The sequence below is a fragment of the Homo sapiens genome, chromosome 14 (genome assembly GCF_000001405.40).
Source record: "Homo sapiens chromosome 14, GRCh38.p14 Primary Assembly".
Classification (NCBI taxonomy): Eukaryota; Metazoa; Chordata; class Mammalia; order Primates; family Hominidae; genus Homo; species Homo sapiens.
In genome coordinates this window covers 61,162,600-61,186,823 of record NC_000014.9, presented here as the reverse complement: position 1 = coordinate 61,186,823, position 24,224 = coordinate 61,162,600, and the positions used below count along the sequence as shown (strand labels likewise).

At 41.4% G+C, this 24,224-nt stretch overlaps 3 annotated features.

The window, feature by feature from the left end:
* Positions 7,356-8,555: an enhancer, noted in NCBI's record as "P300/CBP strongly-dependent group 1 enhancer chr14:61644987-61646186 (GRCh37/hg19 assembly coordinates)". NCBI's record gives its function as "activates an origin of replication core promoter dependent on BRD2, BRD4, P300/CBP, MED14 and CDK7 cofactors, with strong dependence on P300/CBP, by STARR-seq in HCT116 cells {active_cell/tissue: HCT116}" and the evidence as "EXISTENCE:reporter gene assay evidence [ECO:0000049][PMID:35650434]".
* Positions 8,670-9,171: an enhancer, noted in NCBI's record as "H3K27ac hESC enhancer chr14:61644371-61644872 (GRCh37/hg19 assembly coordinates)". NCBI's record gives its function as "activates a minimal SCP1, AML or CMV promoter by ChIP-STARR-seq in naive H9 embryonic stem cells {active_cell/tissue: H9 hESC(naive)}" and the evidence as "EXISTENCE:reporter gene assay evidence [ECO:0000049][PMID:30033119]".
* Positions 12,031-12,532: an enhancer, noted in NCBI's record as "NANOG hESC enhancer chr14:61641010-61641511 (GRCh37/hg19 assembly coordinates)". NCBI's record gives its function as "activates a minimal SCP1, AML or CMV promoter by ChIP-STARR-seq in primed H9 embryonic stem cells {active_cell/tissue: H9 hESC(primed)}" and the evidence as "EXISTENCE:reporter gene assay evidence [ECO:0000049][PMID:30033119]".

The window sequence follows — 24,224 nt, the reverse complement described above, 5'->3', positions numbered from 1 at the left end:
GTGCATGTGGCTTCTTCAGAAAACTGCGGCTGCTCTAAATGAATGGCCAGAAAAAGATAAATAGCCTCTGATGCATAGATGTGACCTTCCATATGAAAACACACTCTCCCGGTCTTCGGCAACTCAGTCCGTGGAAAGCACCAATCTTCAGAAAACAAGCCAGACAGTTATTTTTTAATTGCTTATCAAATCTAAGTATTCAAGGAAATTGCAGTGGGGTGGGGTGGGGGTGGGAATACACAAAATAATGAATCTGGGTAATGAAGTGACCCTGGACCTCTACTCTATAAAATAAACCACAATTATGCAAACATTTTACAGCCTTAATCAGTAGCCCCTTCAAATGCAATGGTCTAAAAGTGCACACTAGTCTGGAATTGGAGATCATTGCCAACCTTCCATTACATTCTTTTCATTATGTTGGAGCAACTCTCCTTTTTGTAATCCTTATATATCCCCTGGCCTCAAAGAGAACACCCTGAACCAAAGACAGGTCTCAGAGAATTCTGACAGTTTTGTTTATGTCAAAAATAATGAAAGATGACAAGCTATCACATTTAGGCTTGTAACATGATAATTTGCTTCAGGACTCCCTGCTAAGATTAATTTGGAGACAGGGAAGAAGAAGGAAAAAGAGGAGGATGACAAAGAGGAGAAGGAAGTGGGGGTGGAGAAGGAGAAAAAAAAGAAGAGAAGCTATCAGATGCTCTCCTGGAAAGTAAGGGAGAGGGACTGGCAACTTGGTAGGTGATTTTTACTTAGCCAAGGGGCAGGAGAAAATCGAGTAAATCTGTGTGTGTGGGTTTTCATCTCATATTCTTTATATTCTAAAGGCATATTTGGCTGAGGTGCATTACAGTGAGAAAAAATAGAACCTGTTGGTGATAATGCCTCAGGTATGGAAGATGTGGTGAGAAAAACTACCCTCTACTGTATGCTCAATGTCACCACCACCACCACCACCACTACTGCCACTATCACCACTACCTCCACCACCACCACCACTACCACCACTATCATCACTACCTTCACCACTACCACCACCAACACCAACCACTACCAATAACATCACCACCACAACCAGCACTACCAACAAAAACACCACTGCCACCAACACCAGCAACATCACTACCATTATTATTGCCGTTATTACCACCACCACTACCTCCATCATCACTACCATTTCTACTATCACCAGTACTACCATTACTACCGTTACCACCACTACCACCACCCCAAATAAGGAAACATAATTTCTCTGGGTTAAACTTGTATACCCAAAGTAGTTACTTGCTTTCTTTCTCTCAATCCAAACCAATCAGACTGTAGACTTCAACTTTTCTATTTTGCAGGGATTTCTTCTCATTCTCAAGCTAAGGTCCTGACACACCAAAGGGAAACTGAGTCTCGAGGAGAGGGATTCTTTTGTGAAATGGTCCTTGGTGCTGGGGTTGGTAGTAGGAAGAAGCCAAGATAATATGGCAAGCAAGCAACTTCTCTCTTAGATGGACTTGGGGGAAGTCATACGAGATTTTCTGCCAACAGACCTGGGTACAGAAGACAAAAGCACTTAAAACTTTTAGCTTCAAGTAGAAACCAGCACACACAGACCTTTTTTTGAAACAAAAAAGGCTTCCACCTTCACCAGCCAGCCTTAGATGGGATGGAAAGAAAGTTTCATATAAAAGGTTAATTTCTATCTATTGGTGGTAGCTTCCTGGGACACTGTACTGAAAGTTTTCTTAGGGCTCAACCAAAGAAAGGAATACAAAGACCACATATGCACACACACACACACACATACACACACACACAGTAATCAGTTGTTCCTGCATGCCCATGAGGGAATGGGAGAAAAATGAAGACCTTTCCACCAATTATTTTTCATCTCCAACCCCCTACTCTCTCTCCCAGGTAGCCGTGTGTCTGATAATTCCACATTTCCACATGATCACTTCCTAATGTGCTAGCATCAGAGGCTTAATACCATCTTCTGAGAACCAAGAAATGCATTGCTAATACATTGGTTATTGGTTCACCTGACTAAACCATACAAAACGAGAGGTGACTTGAGTCAAAGCCTTGAACGCCAGCAGGATTGGAGCAGGGGTCAGTGCTTGCCTCATAATCATGATGCCACTCACTGAGCACTTACCAGGTACACTTACTGCTAAAGGCGTCCTTACTGCTAAAGGCAGAGAGGAAAACCCCAGTTCTTTACTCATATTCTTGAGGACAACCCCAGAACACAAGTGTTTTCTCTGTTTTATAGACGAGGAATGTGAGCATCAGAAACTTTATCAACTTTCCCAGAATCATGCAGATGTTAAGGGAGAGAGTTGGGATTTGAACCCATTCCATCTGGTACCAAAGCTCTTAACCACTAAGCCAAACTGTCTGAAAAAAATGACTCAGATAACTAGTCACACCCCCACCTTAATCATGTCACTCTAGGAAAAAACTTCTAAGTTGCTAACAGAGTTGTGTTTTCTTTAGGTTTGGGTAAAGGGTTAAAAATGCAAGGCCCTGTCCAAACCACACTAGTGACTTTTCCCTTTTGTTGCATTCCAAGCACACATGTACTTTCCGCCTGCTCCAGGGGTTGTAACATCCTTGCAGAGGCTGCGGCTTATGACCTATCATCACCTTCAAGATCAGCCTGGAAAGTAAGAAAAATATTATGTGAGAGGTTTTCTCTCCCAAAGCCAGTCTTAGGGAACTAGCCATTTTCAGAGGAAAAGCAGGATTGTGGAAGAGCCAATACACAGTGGGTTTATTTTAGCCCCATGTGATGCAATAATAATAATAATTATTATTATTTTATATATATGTATATGTATACATATATATATATAAAGTGTTGCTTAAGAAAAGACTGTCGAGAATTAAGAGTCGGCTGGCTAGGGTTTTAAGAACTGGTATGCAGCAAAACAGCCAGAAATAGTTCTTTAGGGGAAAAGAAATCTCAAAAGAAAAGAAAGCTCCCTAGGTTTGGGCAAGGGCAATAAAGCATATGAAGGTGTGTGCACAGTGCCAAAAGCAAAAGAATCTTCTACTAAAACCACAACTCCAGTCATATGTTATTACTTACACTATAGTTGACAATGACTGGCACAGGGCATGAAACGATAAGTCTGGTGGATTTGGCATCGCTCTATGTTAACAGGAAACTGTGTTCTTTTGATTCCATTGATTGGTTTCCTGTTGAAGGCCATTCATGGCAGAGCAGAGAGTATACAAGACTATCGTCCAATTTCCATTTTTCCCGGTGCCTCTTGCTTCTGGCAGGGGAAGCTGGCAGCCTTTATTTGAGGTGATCAGGGCCCAGTCGGGGGCAAATAATGCCTGCAAGGCTGGTTGTAAATGTTGCATTTAGCAGATTAGGTTAGGGAAGGAAGAAGCCATTGAAATGCAAAAGCATACACATGTACAAACAACCACAGATGAAGCTCCATTTGTTTGGTGGCAAACGTATAAACTTGATTCATTCACTGCCATCAAATCAAGGGGCCAAGACACAATGTAGCAGCTCTGCCTCCCAAGGAGAACTTTGGAAATGTTTCAAAGGGGTAGACTGGCACATGGGAGAGGAAGAATGAGAATAGTTGGAGTTTGGCTGAGCTTTGGGTTTCCTTCCTTCATGGTTTCAAAGCCACAGCATCTTGATAAGTGTCTGAAAACTTGGTGGAGGATAGGATGGGTGGGCTTGAGTCTGAGAAAACCCACAGTGATTTGCTGGTGTCACCTGCCTGGGGATGTCCACATGCAGGCTTGGTATTCTCAATAACATCATGGACAGAATTTTATATTTGATGTATATCATGCATACTTGTCATTGATTTGATTTCAGGATGGGATTGGGGATATTTTTGTTTTGGCCTTCTGTTATTTTAATATCATTTCTGAAATAAAACAATTATTTAAAAATGACAAAGAAATGCAATTCATGTTGATAATGGGCTTCCGCTGGTCCCTGGTAAGGCTAGACCACCACTTCTGGGACATTTTCGTCCTAGGCATTCCCCTCTGTCTCTCAGCAATCACCAGGCTGCCAGCCAGGGTACAGATTCTCTGTTTCTTTAACCAGAGACATGATGGGCTCAGAGGTTCACCCTGAATGTCTCTCATAACACCCCTCACTGATTTAAGCCAGCAGCACATCACATGCTCTGTCTCCTTTTTCAAGAAAAAGTAATAGTAACAACAATAATAGTAATTTATCTCATTTCCAGGTAAGGAACTGTAGAGCACACAGCATATACGGGAGTACATTATGGGTATTTACTCAATCACAGATTCTGCTGGGTCTGGCTTAATTCATATTGTTGGATGGCCACCAAGCTAAGAGACCCTTTTTAGCCCTGACCTATGAAACACAAATCCCTTTTCTTGGAGCTATAAGTACAACATCTACATTTCTCCTACACACACACACACACACACACACACACACACACACACACACACGTCAAAATCATATTCTCTGCAACCAACAAAGCTTTGATCTGCCACTTCTGATTGGCTTTGGTGGGTGGCCTGAAGCCAGACAGATAGAAAGAAGCCTTAGGGGCCGAGCACGGTGGCTCACGCTGTAATCTCAGCACTTTGGGAGGCTGAGGCAGGCGGATTACCTCAAGTCAGGAGTTCAAGACCAGCTTGGTCAACATGGTGAAACCCCGTCTCTACTAAAAATACAAAAATTAGCCGGGTGTGGTGGCGCACACCTATAATCCCAGCTACTCGGGAGGCTGAGGCAGGAGAATTGCTTGAAGCCAGAGGGCGGAGGTTGCAGTGAGCCAAGATCACACCACTGCACTTCAGCCTGGGTGACAGAGTGAGACTCTGTCTCAACAAAAAAAAAAAAAAGAAAGAAAGAAAAGAAAGAAAGAAAGAAACAGGCTTCAGAAGGAGTAGCTGAGGCCTTTCCAGCAGGATGAGGCTTCTTGGGAATGTGTAGGAACAGGAGGCAGAATCTGAGCTGAGCTCCCCTCCCGTCTCTTATTGAGTGGGGGATTGGGTGCTGGGAGTAAGAGCAGAACTCTGAGAACCAAGCAAGAGGGATGACAGTGATTAAGAAGAGAGTTGCGGCCAGGTGCGTTGGCTCACGCTTGTAATCCCAGCACTTTGGGAGGCCGAGGCAGGCAGATCAGGAGGTCAGGAGTTTGAGACAAGCCTGACCAACACGGTGAAACCCTGTCTTTACTAAAAACACAAAAATTAGCTGGGCGTGGTGGCGCACACCTGTAATCCCAGCTACTCAGGAGGCTGAGGCAGGAGAATCACTTGAACCCATGAGACGGAGGTTTCAGTGAGCTGAGACCGTGCCACCACACTCCAGCCTGGTGATAGAGTGAGACTCCGTCTCAAAAAAAAAAAAAAAAAAAAAAAAAAAAAAGAAGAGAGTTGCTGGGGAGAGTCTGGTCGAGCTGCACCTTGGTGGTCCCTGGAGATTATCAGGAAGCGCTGGGCTGGTTCCAACTCTCTCTTTGGTTAGCGTTACCCACTCTCACCTGCTGCTGGCTCTTCTGGCTCCAGCCTCAGCCAGCCTTTAGCTGAAGACTTCCCATGGCTGTCTCTCTCCTTCCACTTTTCCTTTTCTTCCCTTCCCCTCCATTCCTACCTTTCCTCTCTCTCTCTCTATCTCTCTTTCTCTATCTCTCCCTCCCTCTCTCGTTATTGTCATGTTTTGTTATCGGCTTTTTTTTTTGAGACGTCGTCTCGCTCTCGCTCTATCGCCCAGGCTGGAGTGCAGTGGCACGATCTCGGCTCACTGCAAGCTCTGCCTCCTGTGTTCAAGCCATTCTCCTGCCTCAGCCTCCTGAGTAGCTGGGACTACAGGCGCCTGCCACCACGCCCGGCTAATTTTTTTTTTTTTTTTTTTTTGTATTTTTAGTAGAGACGGGGTTTCACCGTGGTCTCAATCTCCTGACCTCGTGATCCGCCCGCCTCGGCCTCCCAAAGTTGTTACTGGCTTTAATAAAGACTTCACTCTGAGGCTACCTGTCCTGGATGAATTGCTGTGTAGCAGTTCCTGGGAGGTCAGTTGGGAGGACAGAGCCTTGAAGGGTGGTCCAGAAGGTAGGGTCAAGACAGCAGGCAGATGGCCAGAGAGGGTGTGTGGCCCAAGGGTGTTGGGGAGTTCTGCCCTGGGTTTAGAAAATACAGGCTCCAGTCAGGCAAAACTGCCTTCCTCTCAGCAGCAGGGTAGCCAGGCAGCCTTCAGCTCTTCCTCTAGACCAAGTTTGTCCAACCCGCAGCCTGACACAAACTCATAAACTTTCTTAAAACATTATGAGATTATTTTTAAGGTTTTTTTTTTTTTCTCATCAGCTATCGTTAGTGTATTTTATCTGCGGCCCAAGACGAATCTTCTTCCAGTGTGGCCCAGGGAAGCCAAAAGATTGGACACCCCTGCACCCTCCCAGCCCTCCTTGAATCCGGGTCACTCAGGTTCTGGAAGCATCTCAGTCCTTGTCCTTCACTCTGGCTTCTTGGAGGTTTGGGAGATGCTGGGGTCCCAGCCGCTCACTGCAGCTCTTGATGTTGGTCCAGTTGATCTCGTCTTTTCGGGTGCCCACCTTCTCTCTAGCCATGCCTGTTCCCATCCTGGTTGAGTCCTTCCCTGGGTCTCTTGATGTTCTGTTTTCCATCTACCCAGCTTATAGGACTCCCTCCGGGGGCCAGTGAGTGGCAAGCCCAGATGGGAACCCAGATCTTTGATAACTGATGCTTGGCGCATTGTACTCCTCAATATTGCTTTCCTTTGCTTTGCAAATTCCTGCCTGTTGGCCACAAATAATGCTTTGTAAGACATAGCCTGAGATTTATTATTCCAAGTCAAGCAGAAGTCATGCTAATCTGGTGAAAAGTGTTTTCTGTTTGTTTTGTTTTTCTGTTGGTGGTTTAAGATCCTACTGGAAGGCTGGACACAGTGGCTCATGCTTATAATCTTGGCACTTTGGGAGGCCAAGGTGGGAGGATCGCTTGAAGCCAGGAGTTTGAGACCAGCCTGGGCAACAAAGTGAGACCCTGTCTGAAAAAAAAAAAAATTAAAATCTTACTGGACTTGGGACATTGCTTTCTTGTTTTCAGACACACTTCTGGAGTTCATGGTTTAACTGACATCTTCTACATTTGCATTAAGAAGGCTTTTACTTGGATGAGGCTTAGAACATACATAATAGGGGGATCAGGGACACCCTCTATTTTTCCCCTTCCAAGCAGGCCCACACCCCTGCCTATTCTTCCAGGAAAGGGGAGAGTCAGGACTCCAAGACAACCCTTTGAACTGCTGAAGTCCAGTGCCACTGACGAGTCACATTCCTTTGTCCTCCCCCCTGGTGCAGCAAAGTGTGCATGTTCTCACCATCCTGGATCTGTTGCATTTCTGTTAATAAGTCAAAAGGGTCGAATTAAAATGTACCATTTGATTGGCCATTCCTTTGTTGTCTTTCTCTTCCACTGAGATAAATGCCACCAGGGCAGGACTTTACATTGTTCCCCCACTACATCTCCCGTGCCTAGAATCTGGAAGACCAAAGGTGCTCAACAAATACTTGTGAAATAAATGCGTGAGTGATGGCCCCAACTCTTACATTCTAAATTTCTGTCGTTACAAGAGACAAAAGGGCAGAGTCCATTTCGGCTGCCCCCATCCCTTCATCCCCAGAGTTATGAAACTACAAATCCTGAGACCTCAATTCTCCTCATTCCACTCGGAGATGATTCCCACCTCTTAATGTCCTTTCTTTTTGGCCTTGTTTTTCTTTCCATTCTTGCATGTCTTTAACTCTTCTACTAATAACACAAGTGACCCCATTTCCTCTGTTGTCTCCAAACCACTATCCATGCCATTTTCCCTTCAGTTTGCCTTTGGTGAGAAAAAAAAAATATTCTCCCAGAAATGTGACTCAGAAGTAATCAATGTAAATGTCATCCAAGGCCATGGGGAATTTCTTGGCCATGAATCACATCCCTTGTGCTGAGAACCTGGGTTATAGTCATGGCAGAAAGTCCCAGCACCCAGAAACACCCCCTTCCTCCCCAGCCCCATGCCCACTGGATGCAAGAATTTCTCCTCGTCCTTTTTTGTTGTGGCTGTCCTTGGGCACATTGGGCAAAGGCTCATGCAGGCTTGTTTCCCTTCCCAGCTTGGTTCTGTGACTGTTGCAATGGACTTTAGCGCCTGGCAGGAAGTGCCTGGCTCACCTCCGCTCCAGCAACTGTGGCTGCCACTGCTGATGGAGGAATGAGAGACACAACCCACGGCCAGGTTTCAGCACAGGCTCAGGACCAGGGCACCTCAGATTTTCCATGCCAGCTGGAAACAGGACATGAAAGGTACAGGTTAGGAAGGAGCTATGGCTGGCGAGTTCAAAGGCCCCATTCATGAAGTTTAAAAAAAAAAAAAACACTTTCGGTATTTAGATTGCTCTGCCTTCTTTGTTCTTTCACTTTTTCTCTCAAGTTTGTAGAGCAGGTCCCAGTGCATGAATTTGAAAATAAGAAAGAAAGAAAGACAGGAAGGGGCGGGGGGAGGAAGGGAGCCTAAAGCTCATCAAAACCTGCACAAAGGTGACACTCATGCATATGCTATCAAAGTGGAAGGGAAATACATCTGTACCCACACATAACAGGCAGTGACAAGTTTAGAAATTGTTATCCCGGTCATGGGAAGGTCATTGACAAGTTTTTCAGGTCTCCAGTAAGTAGGAAAATGATTGGGGCAGACTGAGTGTCTAGCAACCTTGAATGAGAGAAGCAGAAAGGCACAGGGGTAGGCGCGTGGGCTTGGAGCCAGTCTGTTTGGGCATTCCAATTGTAGGAAGTAAATGAAATAAACCACACAAAAAAGAATCATCCTGGCACATGATGGGCTCTCAACAAATACCAGTGAAAGTAATGAATGAATATGTGAAGTGCTTCTCAGAGGCCCAGGGCACGGAGGGGTGCTCACTGAAGAGCAGCAGCAGGAGTAGTCATGCTTGAGCCCAATGTTGGAATCCCTTCCTGTCACTCGGCTGGGTTTGACTGGGAGCAGTCGGGACACCACAGGACTAGGGGAAAGAGGAGGATCCACTACACCCAGAGCATCTGCTCTGCCGGTGAGCAAGGCTGATGACACAGATCGCAATGGCAGTGACAGGAACAGTGAAGGGTCACTGTCTTTAGAAAAGGCCATGTCTAAATGGGTGCAAACCTAGCCAATCCCCTCCAAAAGAAAGTTCCCAGCTTCTCTGACCGGGGACTTTCTCCGCCAGCACCCAGGGGATGAAGGAACAATTTTCCTTTATCCTGTGCCTGCAGCACAGCACGGCACAGGCAGAGCCTCCTGTTTCAAAGGCAAACCTTGAAGTTTACAGTGCCCTCTACCTGAAGAGAGTTAGTTTAAAAATCAAAACGTGGCAGAAAGTCAGAGCTGGTAGAGAATTTGAATATTACCTAGGTAACCCCATATTCACTGAGGCTCTGCATTACTCAAAAAACCCACCTGGAGGCCAGGCGCGGTGGCTCATGCCTGTAATTCCAGCACTTTGGGAGGCTGAGGCGGGTGGATCACCTGAGGTCAGGAGTTCGAGACTAGCCTGGCCAACATGGTGAAACCCTGTCTCTACTAAAAATACAAAAATCAGCCGGGCGTGCTGGTGGGCGCCTGTAATACCAGCTACTTGGGAGGCTGAGGCAGGAGAATCACTTGAACCCGGGAGGTAGAGGTTGCAGTGAGCCGAGATAGTGCCACTGCACTCCAGCCTGGGTGACAAGAGTGAAACTCTGTCTCAAACAAAACAAAACAAAACAAAACAACCCAAAAACCCACCTCAAACTACTTTAAGCAAAAGAAGAAAATTCCTTGGCTCACAACACCCAACTTGCAGAAGACAGTGAGTTGAACTGGCTTTAGGAACTAGTAGGAACAGGGACTTAAACGTGGTCAGAGCTCTTATCTTAACTTCTGGTATTTCCAGACTCATTTCCAAGCTGTGGGACATTCCTCAGAGTCAGTTTTTTCCATCCGTGTAATGGGAATATTAACTTTCCTATCTACCTCCCAGAATTATTAACATGATCAAATGAGAAAATACATGAACAGAGGTACATATACAGTTGGTTATTAACACTTGTTTTTAAAATGTGAATTTATTGTGATTGAATTAAAGTATTGGGGACAATGTGAACATAATTCAAGTTTCTCATAGGCAATTTTATCTGCAAGAGAAAACTAGATTAACATAGAAGATGGCACCCAGCTGAACTGAGTCTTGTCAGGATTCACAAAATGCCACATGCACATATTCCACGCATCTGCCCTACTACCTTGCAGATGTGTTATTCTAACTAATCTACTTATCACAACCAACTGGGTCATCCTACGAGGTTATATTTTCCTATTCTTTCACATTTGTAAAGTGTTGTGTATTAAAAAGAATTCATTCAACATCTCCAACATGTCTAAGCATCACAAGCAGGGCATGGGAAAGAAAAGCTTTGTGTATTGAGGGGGGAAATTGAAGTAAAGCATTTTGAGAGAATCAAGAGAACCTATGCTATCTCCCAAGCAACAGACCATAGAAATAAAAGAAATGTCTGTGGATGGAATAAGTTCAAGTGCTGAGAAATCAATAAGAATAAGGCATGATCCACCCACCTTGGACACCCAAAGTGCTGGGATTATAGGCGAGGTCAAGAGATCGAGACCATCCTGGCCAACATGGTGAAACCCCATCTCTACTAAAAATACAAAAATTAGCTGGGCATGGTGGCAAGTGCCTGTAGTCCCAGCTACTTGGGGAGGCTGAGGCAGGAGAATCGCTTGAACCTGGGAGGCGGAGGTTGCAGTGAGCTGAGATTGCACCACTGCACCCCTCCAGCCTGGTGACAGAGCAAGACTCCGTCTCAAAAAAAAAAAAAAAAAAAAAAAAAAAAAAAAAAAGGCATGAAGACATAGAAGAGATGGAAAGATGAGCATTGTTGAAACCGAAAACTAGGTGGTGAAAAATAAGGGCAACCTCGCTCACAAAGAGAAAGCACTATCTACGTGCAAAAACCTTAATGGAAATTACCACATTCTGCAGAAATGACACCTTTTGTTCTATGAGGGGCTGATTTGGTGATTTCAAATATCACCACAATTTCCAAAGACTTCAGCTATTGAGTGAAGTCCTCAAGTGTGGATGAGAAAACTGCAAAGGAATTTCCAGCAGGGATACAGAAATTAACTAAAGAAGAAAATGCTACATTTTCAAATTTTCAATTTTGATGAAACGGATATCCATTATAAATGCATGCTTCAAATGGCCCACATTTCAGAATTTTAAGGCTGCAAAAAATCAAAAATGTTGGTGATCTTTCTTCTACTACTTCATCCTAACACAAGCAGCAACCCTCTCAGCTCCCTCTTCCATCAGCAAATGGCAGGTATTTTTAAAGATAAAGTGCCATATTTATTGTAGTATTTACATTTTTTTCATTATTTAACATGCACAAAACTGTGCTATCATTTTTATTAAGTTCCTATCTTTTTTATATTACCAACAAAGTGTTTAGGTACTGTGCCCCTGACCCTGTCTTTTCTCTAAGCCTGTGGTTTTTATTGTGCAATTTTGCATAACACAGTGAGTTTTAGGAATGCATGTATCATGTTATAGCAGAACTATCTGGATCTTTTAATTCCCACACATCTCTCCCTCAGCCATGGTTTGGCGACCACAGGCTACAGGTGTGAACCCATAATTCAAATCTGCCACTCCCCTCTGGGCCCCAGGACCAGAACCTCTCAAACTCCTCTTCACCCCTGCAGGCCTTCAGGGCCGAATCAAATTTCTTGACAACTCTACACTGTGCAGCTACTTTTGATGGACCCTCCGGAAATCGCTTGTCCTTTTTCATCTTCAACACCACTGATCTTATCCTTTCTTACTTAAGGCTCCTTGCTAGGCCTTGTATCTCTGTTGTGGTTCCTAGTGTTTTCTTTCCACTGAAGAAGTACCTCCTCCCCTTCCCCTCATCAGATGGTGCTGACTGAGCTGACAGGACTTAATTGAAGCTGGCATTATTTCCGATGAGAGCAGCGATTGAAAACTAGCATAGCTCTTGTGTGACACCGACACACACTCTCAGAAGGAGACTCAGCGGTGTGCTGGAGAGCCGCTGAGCTATTGTTGAGCTGTTCTGGAAGGCTTTGGCTTTCCTGCAGGACCCTAGATCTGTCTCTGCAAAAGCAACCTAAGACCAGCCCTGCATGAGGTAAGAAGAATGGGATGGAAATCAGGCCCATAGCTACCTAGAAAACCACATTTTAACAGCTGCCATTTATGGAACGCTTTTCCTGGGGAATTTCATTATTCTTTCCTGACTACCTAACACATGTCAGAATTTGGAAAGTTAAGGAAATACCCCACTGGGTAAGCTTTAAAATGCGAGTTTCTAGCTCTTCCTGTTTCTAAACTCCAGTAGCTTTGTCTACATAAGAACACCACTGTGTGGTTCAGTAAAGACAACCCTAGAATGAAAGGTGTAAATTATGTCACTCAGTGAAGTAGAAACTTCCAAAATATTTTAGTACTAAAGAGTCTAAAGGTTGAGATCAACAGAATTCTCCTGAAATCTGGCAGACGTCCTTTAACCCTTTAAGTTCAGCTGAAGTGTGTATGGCTTAGGAATGGTTTTTAAGGGGATAACATTGAATTTGATTAGCAATTAGGAGAATTGCACTTGATTCCAAATTCATCTCCTGACATGTTGGCATCTGAATATTTCAGCTCTAAATTACAGACCTCAATAACATAATGCTAAACAGTATCTAACACCAAAGTGAAAACACAGTGTGTTTTAGTCATTTTCTGTTGGTGTAACAATTCCACAGACTGAGTCAAGAAAATAGTTTAGGCCAGGCGCCGTGGTTCATGCCTGTAATGCCAACACTTTGGGAGGCCGAGGCAGGTGGATCACAAGGTCAGGAGATCGAGACCATCCTGGCCAACACAGTGAAACCCTGTCTCTACTAAAAATACAAAAAAATTAGCTGGGTGTGGTGGCAGGCGCCTGTAGTCCCAGCTATCGGGAAGCGGAGCTTGCAGTGAGCTGAGATCGCGCCACTGCACTCCAGCCTGGGTGACAGAGTGAGACTCTGTCTCAAAAAAAAAAAAAGGAAAATAGCTTATTCAGCTCATGATTCTGGAGGCTGGAAAATCCAAAAACATGGTATCAGCATCTGAGGAGTCATCCCGTGGTGGAAGAGCAGAAGGCAGAAGTGAGCCTATGAGACAAAGAGAGGAAGGGGACTGACTTTGTCAGGAACCCATTCCCATGATAACTAACCCATTCATTCAAAAATGGCATTGATCCATTCATTGCCAATTGTCTACCAAAGGCCCTACCCCTTAACTCTGCTACGGTGGCAACCAAGTTTCCAACACGTAACACATTCCAACCATAGTACACCATTTATACCCTGAAGAATGTGTGTGTATTGAGAAGGGTGATTGTGGAGACACATTTAAGTAAGAAGTGCAGTCTTTTAAAATGAGGCCAGACATCCACATCAAAGGTTAGGGATTTGCCTAGTGTATTAGTCCATTCTTACATTGCTATAAACAACTACCTGAGACTGGGTAATTAATTAAAAAAAATGTTTAATTGGCTCACGATTCTGCAGGCTGTATAGTCTTCTGCTTCTGGGGAGACCTCAGGAAACTTACAATCATGGTAGAAGGTGAAGGGAAAGTGAAGAGGAAGCAGCTACATCTTCACATGGCCATCAGAGAGCAAAGGGGAAGGTGCTACTCACTTTCAAACAACCAGATCTCATGAGAACTCTATCACAAGACAGCACTAGAGGGATGGTGCTCAACCATTAGAAACCAGCCCTATGATCTAATCATCTCTTACCAGGCCCCACCTGCAACACACAGGATCACAATTTAACATGAGATTTGGGTGGGGACACAGCTAAAACATATCACCTAGTGATGTTCTTGCTTGGAAAAGTAGTGGGGTCCTATATGTAAGAGTGAGCTTTGCTGCCAGGCTGCCTGGGTTTTATACTTGGCCTTGACATCAACAAATTACCTGACTGTCATGAAGTCACTTTCTGTCCTCTCTTTCCTTAACTGTAAAATAAACATAGTAACATCTGATTCATAGATAACTATAAAAATCCAATGGAGAGTTCATGAAATCACCAGGTATATAGTATGCACTCAATGAATGTCAGCTATTTTTAACCATATCAAACTGCCTTTTGAATAGTCTAGAATGATGTATAGTTTCATTCAGAGTAATCACCATGGTGAATACTCTGAATGAAACTATACATTATTACTATTATTATTATAATAGACATGGTGAATCCCTTCTTATTTGTTTAAAAGGTACAGTAGTCCTAATAATAGTAACTTCCTAATAGGGTTATAAAGATAAAATGAGTTAATACATGGACCTGGTACATAGTGGGCACTCAGTAAATGGTACCTGTTATCGACCATCTCAAACTGTTTGTGACTAGAATAATGTGGGAAAACATTCAAAAATATTTGTCGTTCTTATTTTATGAAAGGTGCAGTCCTCGGCCTTTTCTGCCTATTTGGATCCAAGTACAGATTTTGGTTCTGATAAATGACTTATTTTAGCCTGAGTTCATGAGGTCATACTTGAAAGAATCAGAGCTGAATGCTGGTTGATTGTGTTAAAAGAGGAGAAAAAACACACAGAGTGCACAAAATTATAGAAAATACACCAGAACCTCTAAGAATTTGCTGGTCCCCTCCTTCTGCAAGGGGCCAGCACCCCTCACTCATGGGGACAAGAATGTGCTAAAGTCTGCTCCTAGCAGGCTGCCAGAATTGATTTTGCACATTTCTTCCCAACTCCTCTTTCAGTGACACATTTTACGGGTCGGTAGCCTGAAATTGGCAATGGTAGGAGTATTTACTTGATGAAAATTGGCCAAGGCTATGAATCAGGAATTTTTTTGAAGTCATTTATACAAGATTTTTTAGCACATACTGTGTGATGGTGTCAGAAAATTTGTTTCTTCTTGAACAAATCCTTTTTCCAGAGATCCTCTAGAGACTAGGAACTGTCTGCCTCCTCAGCTGCTGGCTTATCTGTGGGAGCCTATTATCTGGTCCTCTGCAGTGCTGTTCCTCCCGATGGGCTGTCCACCTTTTCTCCAGGAAAGAAGGAGGCAGGAGGACCCGCTTCTTTTTGCCACTTTACCCCCTCAGTCACCACAATATCATCACACAAACTGCAAAGACACAGGCAGATTTCTTTACTGGTGGGTTGGTATACTTTCAGAAAGAAACTGTAGCACAGGAGGGACAAAGGCTGAAACTGAAATAAATTTGTACTTAATGGGTCCAGAACCCATTCCCAGAGAGAAAATGACATCCCCTCCTCTGGGAAAACTCCACACCTACCTGTACTCATGGGAAGAGATCTTACTCCTGGAATGCTTACCGAAAGCTGCAGTTTAAGGAATCCCTCCCCTGCAATCTTTAGCAGGGTGAACATGAGTGTTTATTGACACTTTTAGCTTGGGAGACAATGAGAACATGAAGGAGTGTCTGTAATTTCATGGATGAGGGTGGACATGGATCCTCGAGTTCAAGTTTATTTTGCACCATTCCCAGTTTCTGTACTAGTTGACCTCTTAAAGTAAGTACACCTCCACAAGACAAACATTAATTTTCTCAGATTGCACCAACCTAATAATACAATCTAAACCAATGATTCTCAACTCTGATTGTACCTAAGAATCAACCAGGGAGTTGTTTTTTTTTTTTAAATGCTGATGCCTGGGCTACACCCAGCATTGGGTTTTGGCCCAGCCATTGTTATTTTTTAAGGTTTCCCAGGTGAATCTAATGCGCAGCCAGGTTTGGAAACCACCAGTCTAAATCCACGGTGGGGAACGAGCAGTTCCCTAATCAGCAGGCTTGGTCTCAGAATTGGGCCTTTGTTCTCATGTCAAAGAATTGGTCTTTTAAAAATTCCTTTGATTCAGTAGTCCTCCTCTGATTGAAGTGTCAGGTGGGAAGGAGAAGACATAAATTACCAGTCCTTCCAACATGCACAGTTCACTTGGTCATTAATCTTTCTGCTTTACCTAGTGATTCAGACATAAACTCAAACTTTGTAACTGCTAAAAGGTAGCACAGCTGATCAGTTTGAGTTTTATCTCTCGTCTTGACTTTTCCCCCTTTGAGGTCCTAATTATCAAAATTACGAAGAGAACCAGTAGATAAGCATGAGAGGAGCCTAAGAAAAAACAAACAAAAACAAAGAGAACCAGTAGAAAACAGTAGAAAAAAATTTTGAAGACCCAATTAATTGACTGTTTGAATCATTGCCTTATAACTGTCCTTCACCGTCTGCCCTTGGCTGGACAGACAGAGAGATTCTCATACTTCCCAGTAACTTACATGTCATTGGACCAGGGCACCCCAAACCAAATTTTACTGTCCTATTTCCATTGACAACTACCTCTGGAAGTTTCTGTAGCCATTCATCCCAAATCAGTAGGAATTTCTCCTCCTAAGACCTTGGCCTTACATTCATTGAGTTCTTCACTGAGTTCATTGAGGTCCTCCGGTGGCCTCCATCCCCTTCCATGACCAGAACAGTCCAGACTCAGAGAGAGGCTTCCCTTCATAGGGAGCTGCGTGAGGGGAGAGAAAGAGTTTGTCCCAAAAATCCTGAATTAGAGTGGAGATACCCTACCGAGGGGTCCCAGAGTAGAAAGAGCCAGAGAGCTGAGTTGGAGCAAAGTCTGGAAACAGGACAGAAATTGAAGATGAGAACCCTGAGGTCTAGAAGAATAAGTGGAGCTGAAAAGGGATCCATTTGCTACATTCAAGAATGGGATTCATGCACAATGATGTCAAGTAGAGGTTCCTAACTCAGCTAGAGGACACTGGGCTTGGTTGGGGTGGCGGAGAAGAACCAGGTGTCAAAAGAAGGCTTGGAGACTTGCCCAACCTAGATTTGAACTACTCTCAGCTCAACAGAATCTCTCATCACTCTGAAAATTGATTTCATTTCCAGGAAAAAAATTATGAAAACTTTCCTGTCAGTGTGACAGGTGAGGTATAAATACTGAAAATAGATTCATATTTGTGGAGATAAATCCAAGTGTTTTGTTTCCCATGTAAAATTTAAACAAAACACCCAAACAGAAAAAAAATTTCCATTTGGAATGCAGTCTGGGTTCCCCAGATGTTTTGAAATGCTTTGCCAGATATTTAAACACAACCCAAAGTATGTTTGGCTAGTACTTCCTTATTAAAATTTTGGGTAAATTTGAGGGAAGGTGTATCCATATATTTCTGATTCATTTGCATTTAACTCATCAAACCAATATTTAGATGCCACTTCATTTCAAAAAATCTTTACAGAATTAAAAACCAGGAAGTTCTATTTTACAAAGCGTAAACAAATTTGAACATCAAACTGTTCTTATTGGTGGGATTTGCCTAGACTAAAGAGACTGAATTAATTCTAAACTTGGCAAAATACAACCCCCCACCTCTGTACCAGACTGACTCTGTCATTTGCAGAAGGTCACAAAGTTGTGCTCTTGGGAGAATATATATATATATATGTATATATATGTGTGTGTATATATATATATATATTTTGTTTGTTTGTTTTGTTTTGTTTTGTTTTGTTTTGAGACGGAGTTTCACTCTTGTTGTCCAGGCTAAAGTGCAATGGCGCAATCTCAGTTCACCGCAAACTCTGCCTCCCGAGTTCAAGTGATTCTCCTGCCTCAGCCCCCTGAGTAGCTGAGATTACAGGCATGAGCCACCACACCTGGCTAATTTTGTATTTTTAGTAGAGACGGGGTTTCTCCATGTTGGTCAGGCTGCTCTCAAACTCCCAACCTCAGAGGATCCACCCGACTCAGCCTCCCAAAGTGCTGGCATTACAGGCGTGAACCACCACGCCCAGCGGGAGAATATTTTTTAATGTATTCTTGATTTGCATACAAAGCTTTGTTCATACCAAACTGGAGAAGAAACTTTAAAAGTATGAAAAGTTTCTGTTCTCTGTGTTGTGGTTCCAATCTCAATTTCTCATGGGATTCTACGGGACAGAACCAATTTTCTCATTACTAGAACTCAGGCCTCTTGAGGAAGAGATAGTCCTGCATATGGCACTCTTAGAGGAATAGGGTGAAGGGTTTTATTCATTGACTACAGTGTCTGCAATGGCAATAATTTATTTTTCCATAAATTGTAGTGATCATGTGAATGGCTTGTTACGTTTAAAGAGAAAGTGTATAAAATCCCTAAATGGTTTTTCATGATAGCTTATTAACTTTTTTTGTCTTTAGTCATTCAGCTTTTCTACTGAGAAAGAATAATATATGAAATGCTGGCATTGCAAGTACCCAGGAGTTTAAGTAAAGATCACCTAAGATTGGCCAGATGACCAAAACTTTTAAATTATTAGTCTCTTAGTCACTAAAAGGGATCCAAGCACAAAAACATTAGACTTAAGTTCAAGTGGTAATATGGAATGACATCAGAGTACCAGCCAAAAGTTGGGAACAAAAGACAACATAAATGCGGGTGTGAAGTAACAAATTCTTTATTGAAGGAATTCTTTTTAGCTCCAACAATTGATAGGTTCTATTATAATCAAACCCTTTATAGCAGATTGATTTCATTAATCTTAACCGCTCAAATTCTTCACATTTCCCTGCATCCACAGAGTGTCGTGTCATGTGGCTTTGTAGGGCCTTACCACTCTGGGATGAAGTACCATACCTGGTTTTGTTTTTTTTTTTTTCAGTTATAAAAATTTATAATTTTATTGAGTTATAATCTGTATACAATAAAATCCACCCATTTTTAAATGTATAGTTTGATGAGTGTATACAGTTGTATAGTCACCACCACAATCAAGATATAGAACATTTCCATCACTCAAAAAGGTATTCATATGACCCTGTGCAGCTAATCTCATTTCATCATCTCCAGCCTCAGGCAAAGACTAATCTGGTTTCTGTTACTATAGCTTTGCTTTTCCTAGAATTTCATAAAAATTGAAACATACAGCACGCAGTCTTCCATATCTGGCTTCTTTTTCATTTAACATAATGCCTTTGAGATTCACCATGTTATTACATGTATCAGTAGTTTACTTCTTTTTGTTATTGAGAAGTATTCCATTATAAGGAAATACTATAATTTGTGTGTACATGAATAAACAAATTTTTTATTTGAATTATTTTCAGCTTTTAGCTACTGGAGATGAAATTGCTATGAACATTTATGTACATATCTTTGGGTGAACACATGTTTTTATTTCTCTAATGTAAATATCTAAGAATTGAATTACTGGGTCATATGATAAGTATATATTAAATTTTATAAAAAGCTTTTAAATTGTTATTCAAAGGACTGCACCATATCACATTTCCCATTAGTAATGTAAGAGAGTTCCAGGTGCTCCATGTCCTCACCAATGTGTAGTATTATAAATATTTTTAATTTTAGCCATTCTAATGCATGTAATGGTACCTCATTGTGTTTTTAATTTGTGTTTCCCTAATGATGAATGAGCATTTTTCATGTCCTTATTTAGCATTTGGATATCTTCTTTGGTGAACTGGCAGTTCAAATCTTTTGCCCATTTGTTTCTCATTTACTATTTGAAACTCATTCAAAAAGAAATAGATAGTAATCCATTATCAGTTAAGGAAATTAGATTTGTACTTATCCTTCTCACAAAGAAGGATCTGATGACTTCAGTGGTGAACTTAACATTAAGGTATAACTATTACCAATTCAACTGGGAATACTTCCCAGTTCATTTTATGAGTCCAGCTTTACCCTGATACCAAAACCAAAGACATTACAGAAAAAGAAAACTAAAAATAAATTTCTCTCATGACATAGCCCCCACACCCAAATTTAACAGATTTGAACAAATCAAATCCAGTAATATATAAAAAAGGTAATACATCATGACCAAGTGGTTGGTATTTGTCTCAGAATGTAAGTTTGGTTTAATACTAAAAACTGTTAGTGTAATTCACCATATTAACAGACTGAAAAAGTAAAATTGACTAATTATCTCAATAGATGCACATAAAGCATTTGACAAAATTCAATTTCGATTCATGATAAAAGCTCAGCAAACCAGGAATAGATGGGAATTTCTTCATTCTGATCAAAAATCAGGCATGGAAGACCTACAGGTAACATTATAGTTAGTTGTAAAAGACTGAATGCTTTCCTCTAGGATTATGTCCTATCTTATTACTCTTACTACTTATATTCATCACTGTACTGGAGATCCTGGAAATGGGGCGGAGGTTGGGTAGGGTGGAGGCAGGGGGTAGAGGAAGCATGGCCAGTGGACAAGAGGAAGTAAAACTTTCTTCCTTTGTAGGCAACATGATTATCTACATGGAAAATCCTAAAGAATTCTCAAATAGGTTACAAGAATGAATAAGTAAGATTAGAAAAGTTGAAATATGCAAGTTTATTAAACAAAGATCAATTGTATCTTTTTTTGGTCACTATATTAGGGTTCTCTAGAAGGACAGAACTAATAGGATAGATGCATATATAAAGGGGAGTTTATTAAGGAGTATTGGCTTACACGATCACAAGGTCCCACAATAGGCCATCTGCAAGCTGAGGAGCAAGGAAGCCAGTCCGAGTCCCAAAGCTGAAGAACTTGGAGTCCAATGTTCAAGGGCAGGAAGCATCTGGCACGGGAGGAAGGTGTAGTCTGGGAGGCTAAGCCAGTCTAATGTTTTCACGTTCCTCTGCCTGCTTTTATTCTGGCTACACTGGCCGCTGATTAGATTAGCTGATTAGATTAGCTGATTAGATTGTTACCGCCCAGATTAAGGGTGGATCTGCCTTTCCCAGTCCACTGACTCAAATATTAATCTCCTTTGGCAGCACCCTCACAGACACACCCAGGAAAAATACTTTGCATCCTTCAATCCAAACAAGTTGCCACTCAGTATTAACCATCACAGTCACAAAGAGTTAGGACTTGAGAATTTAAAATATAACATTTGGGCTGGACGTGGTGGCTCACGCCTGTAATCCCAGCACTTTGGGAGGCCGAGGCAAGCAGATCACGAGGTCAGGAGATCGAGACCATCCTGGCTAACATGGTGAAACCCCGTCTCTACTAAAAATAAAAAAAATTAGCTGGGCATGGTGGCGGGCACCTGTAGTCCCAGCTACTCGGGAGGCTGAGGTAGGAGAATGGCATGAACCCGGGAGGCGGAGGTTGTAGTGAGCCAAGATTGCACCACTGCACTCCAACCTGGGCAACAGAGTGAGATTCTGTTTCAAAAGAAAAATAAAATAAAATAAAATGTAACACAATGGCATCTAAAAACATGAAAATACCTAGGTATAAATTTAACAAAATGTGTGCAACACCTGGATACTAAAACATAAAACTTCATGGAATGAAATTAAAGAAAGACAGGTTAATAGAGAGATATTCCACATTTATGAGTCAGAAAACTCAATAATGTTAAAATCTCAGTTCTTCCCAAATTAATGTATAGACTCAACACAATCCAAATCAATATTCTAACAGATTTTTTATAGAAATCAATAGTTATTTAAATGTTTTTATTAAAATGCAAAATTATTTTGAAAAAGATAAAAGTTGGAGGAATTACACTGCCTGATTTTAAGATTTATCACAAAGCTACATAATTAGGGCAATGTGGTGTTGGATAGACAGATAGATCTGTGGAACAGAATGGGGGCCTAGAAATAGATCCACACATATATTGTCAATTGATTTTCAGTGAAGGTGCCAATGTAATGCCATAGGGAAAGGAAAGTCTTTTCAAAAAGCCACTGGATGTCCATAAGAAAATAAAATGATTCTTTACCCTAATCTCACATGTTATACACAATTTATTTACATAAATGGATAATAGAACTAACTGTAAGAGCCGAACTATAAAGCTTCTAGAAGAAAATATGTTTTTAAAAAATTGAACTGGGTTAACACAAAGACTTTATTATACAGGATATAAAAAGTGCAAACCTTGAAAGATAAAAATTAATTAACTGGATTTCTTTAAAATCATAAACTTTAGCTCTTCAAAATTCACTGTTAAGAAAATGAAAAGCAAGCCACTGAGTTGGAGAAAATACTTGTGAAACGTATATATTATAAAAGATTGTAGCCAGAATATATAAAGAACTATTTAAGCCATTTAAACAGGTGTGTAATGGTATCTGATTGGGGTTTTAATTTGTTTTTTCCTAATGATTAATGATAGTAAGTAATTTTTGTTTTTTGGTCTGTTTCTGTTTTGTTCTGTTCCGTTTTTAACCACCCATATCTCACTGTTGGTAAAGTGTTTGTTCAAATCATTTGCCTATTCTTTTCTTTTTATTGGGCTCTTTCCCCTTATATTTCTTTTCTTTTCTTTTTTTTTTTTTTTTTTTTTTTTATTTGAGACAGGGTCTTGCTCTGTCACACAGGCTGGAGTGCAGCTACAGTGTTGTGATCTCAACTCACTGCAACCTCTGCCTCCCAGTTCAAGCGATTCTCATGTCTCAGCCTCCTGAGTAGCTGGGATCACAGGCATGCACCATCATCCCCAGCTAATTTTTTGTATTTTTAGTAGAGATGGGGTTTTGCCATGTTGGCCAGGTTGGTCTCAAACTCCTGGCCTCAGGCAATCCACCCACCTCAGCCTCCCAAAGTGCTGGGATTACAGGTGTGAGCCACCACACCCAGCCCTCTTGTATTTCTTTTAATGTCTGTTGGATCTGTAGTGCTGTCTTCTCATTCATGCCAGATATTGGTGATTTTGGTCTTCTATTTTTTAAAATCAGTCTCACCAGAGGTAGATCCATTTTATTAATTCTGTCAAAGCTTTTAGTTTTATCTCTTTTTCGTCCATTTTGTTTCATTTATTTATGCTCTCATTTTTATTATTTCTTTCGTTTTTATTTTTTAGGGGTTTAGTTTGCTTTTCTTTGTCTAGTTTCATAAGGAGAAAACTGAGGTCATTGATGTGAGATCTTCCTTCTTTTCTAATTTAAGCATTAAATATTACAAATTTCTCTCGAATCATTGTACTGGTTGATTTCACAAGATTTGATACATTTTGTTTTCATTACCATTCATTTAAAAATACTTTCTAATTTTCCTTACAATTTCTTCTTGGATCCATGAAATATTTAGAAGTGAGGAGAGTTTTGATTTTGTTTTGTTTTGTTTCTTGTTTGTTTGTTTGTTTTTGAGACAGGGTCTCACTCTGTCAACCAAGCTAGATGGCAGTGGTGTGATCATAGCTCACTATAGCCTCAACCTGATGGGCTCAAGTGATCCCCCCACTTCAGCCTGCCGAGTAGCTGAGACCACAGGCATGCACCACCACACCTGGCTAATTAAGAAATGTATTTATTTATTTTTTGTAGAGATGAGTTTTTGCTATGTTGCCGAAGCTGTCTCTCAAACTCCTGGACTCAAGCAATCCTCCCAGCTCAGCCTCACAAAGTGCTAGTATTATAGGCATGATCCACTCCCCCTGGCCAGAAGTGAGCTTTTAAATTTCCAAATATTTGGGAATTTTCCAATATCTTTTTGTTTAGAGCTTAATTTTTGTGGTCAGAGAATAATACATAGTATATGATTTAAATCTTTTAAAACTTACTGAGATATGTTTTACAGCCTAGGATATGGTCTGTCTTTGTAGATATTTCATGTTCTCTTGAAAAGAGTATGTATTTTGCTCTTGTTGGATAGAGTGTTCTCTAAATGTCAATTAGGTAGATTGATGAATAGTGTTGTGCAAGGCTTCTATATTTTTACTAATTTTTGTCTACTTATTCTGTCAATTTATTGAGAGATAAATATTGAAATCTCCTATATTTGTCTTTTTCCTTTTAGTTCTGATTCTTTACTCTTATTTTTATAATAGTTTTGGGTATACAAAGAGAGTACAGAGCATTCCCACATGCACTGAACCCAGTTTCCCCTGCTGTTAATATCTTACATTACTATAGTTAATTTGTTGCACAAAGGAACCAACATGCCTTTTAACCAGACCCTATAGTTTATTCAATGTCATTCTTTCTTTCTTAGTATCCGTTTTTTGTTCTAAGATCTAATCCAGGATATTACATACCATTTAGCCATTAAATCTCCTTAGCCTCTTCTTGTCTATGACAGTTTCTCCAGACTTCCCTTATTTTTAAGGACCTTGACAG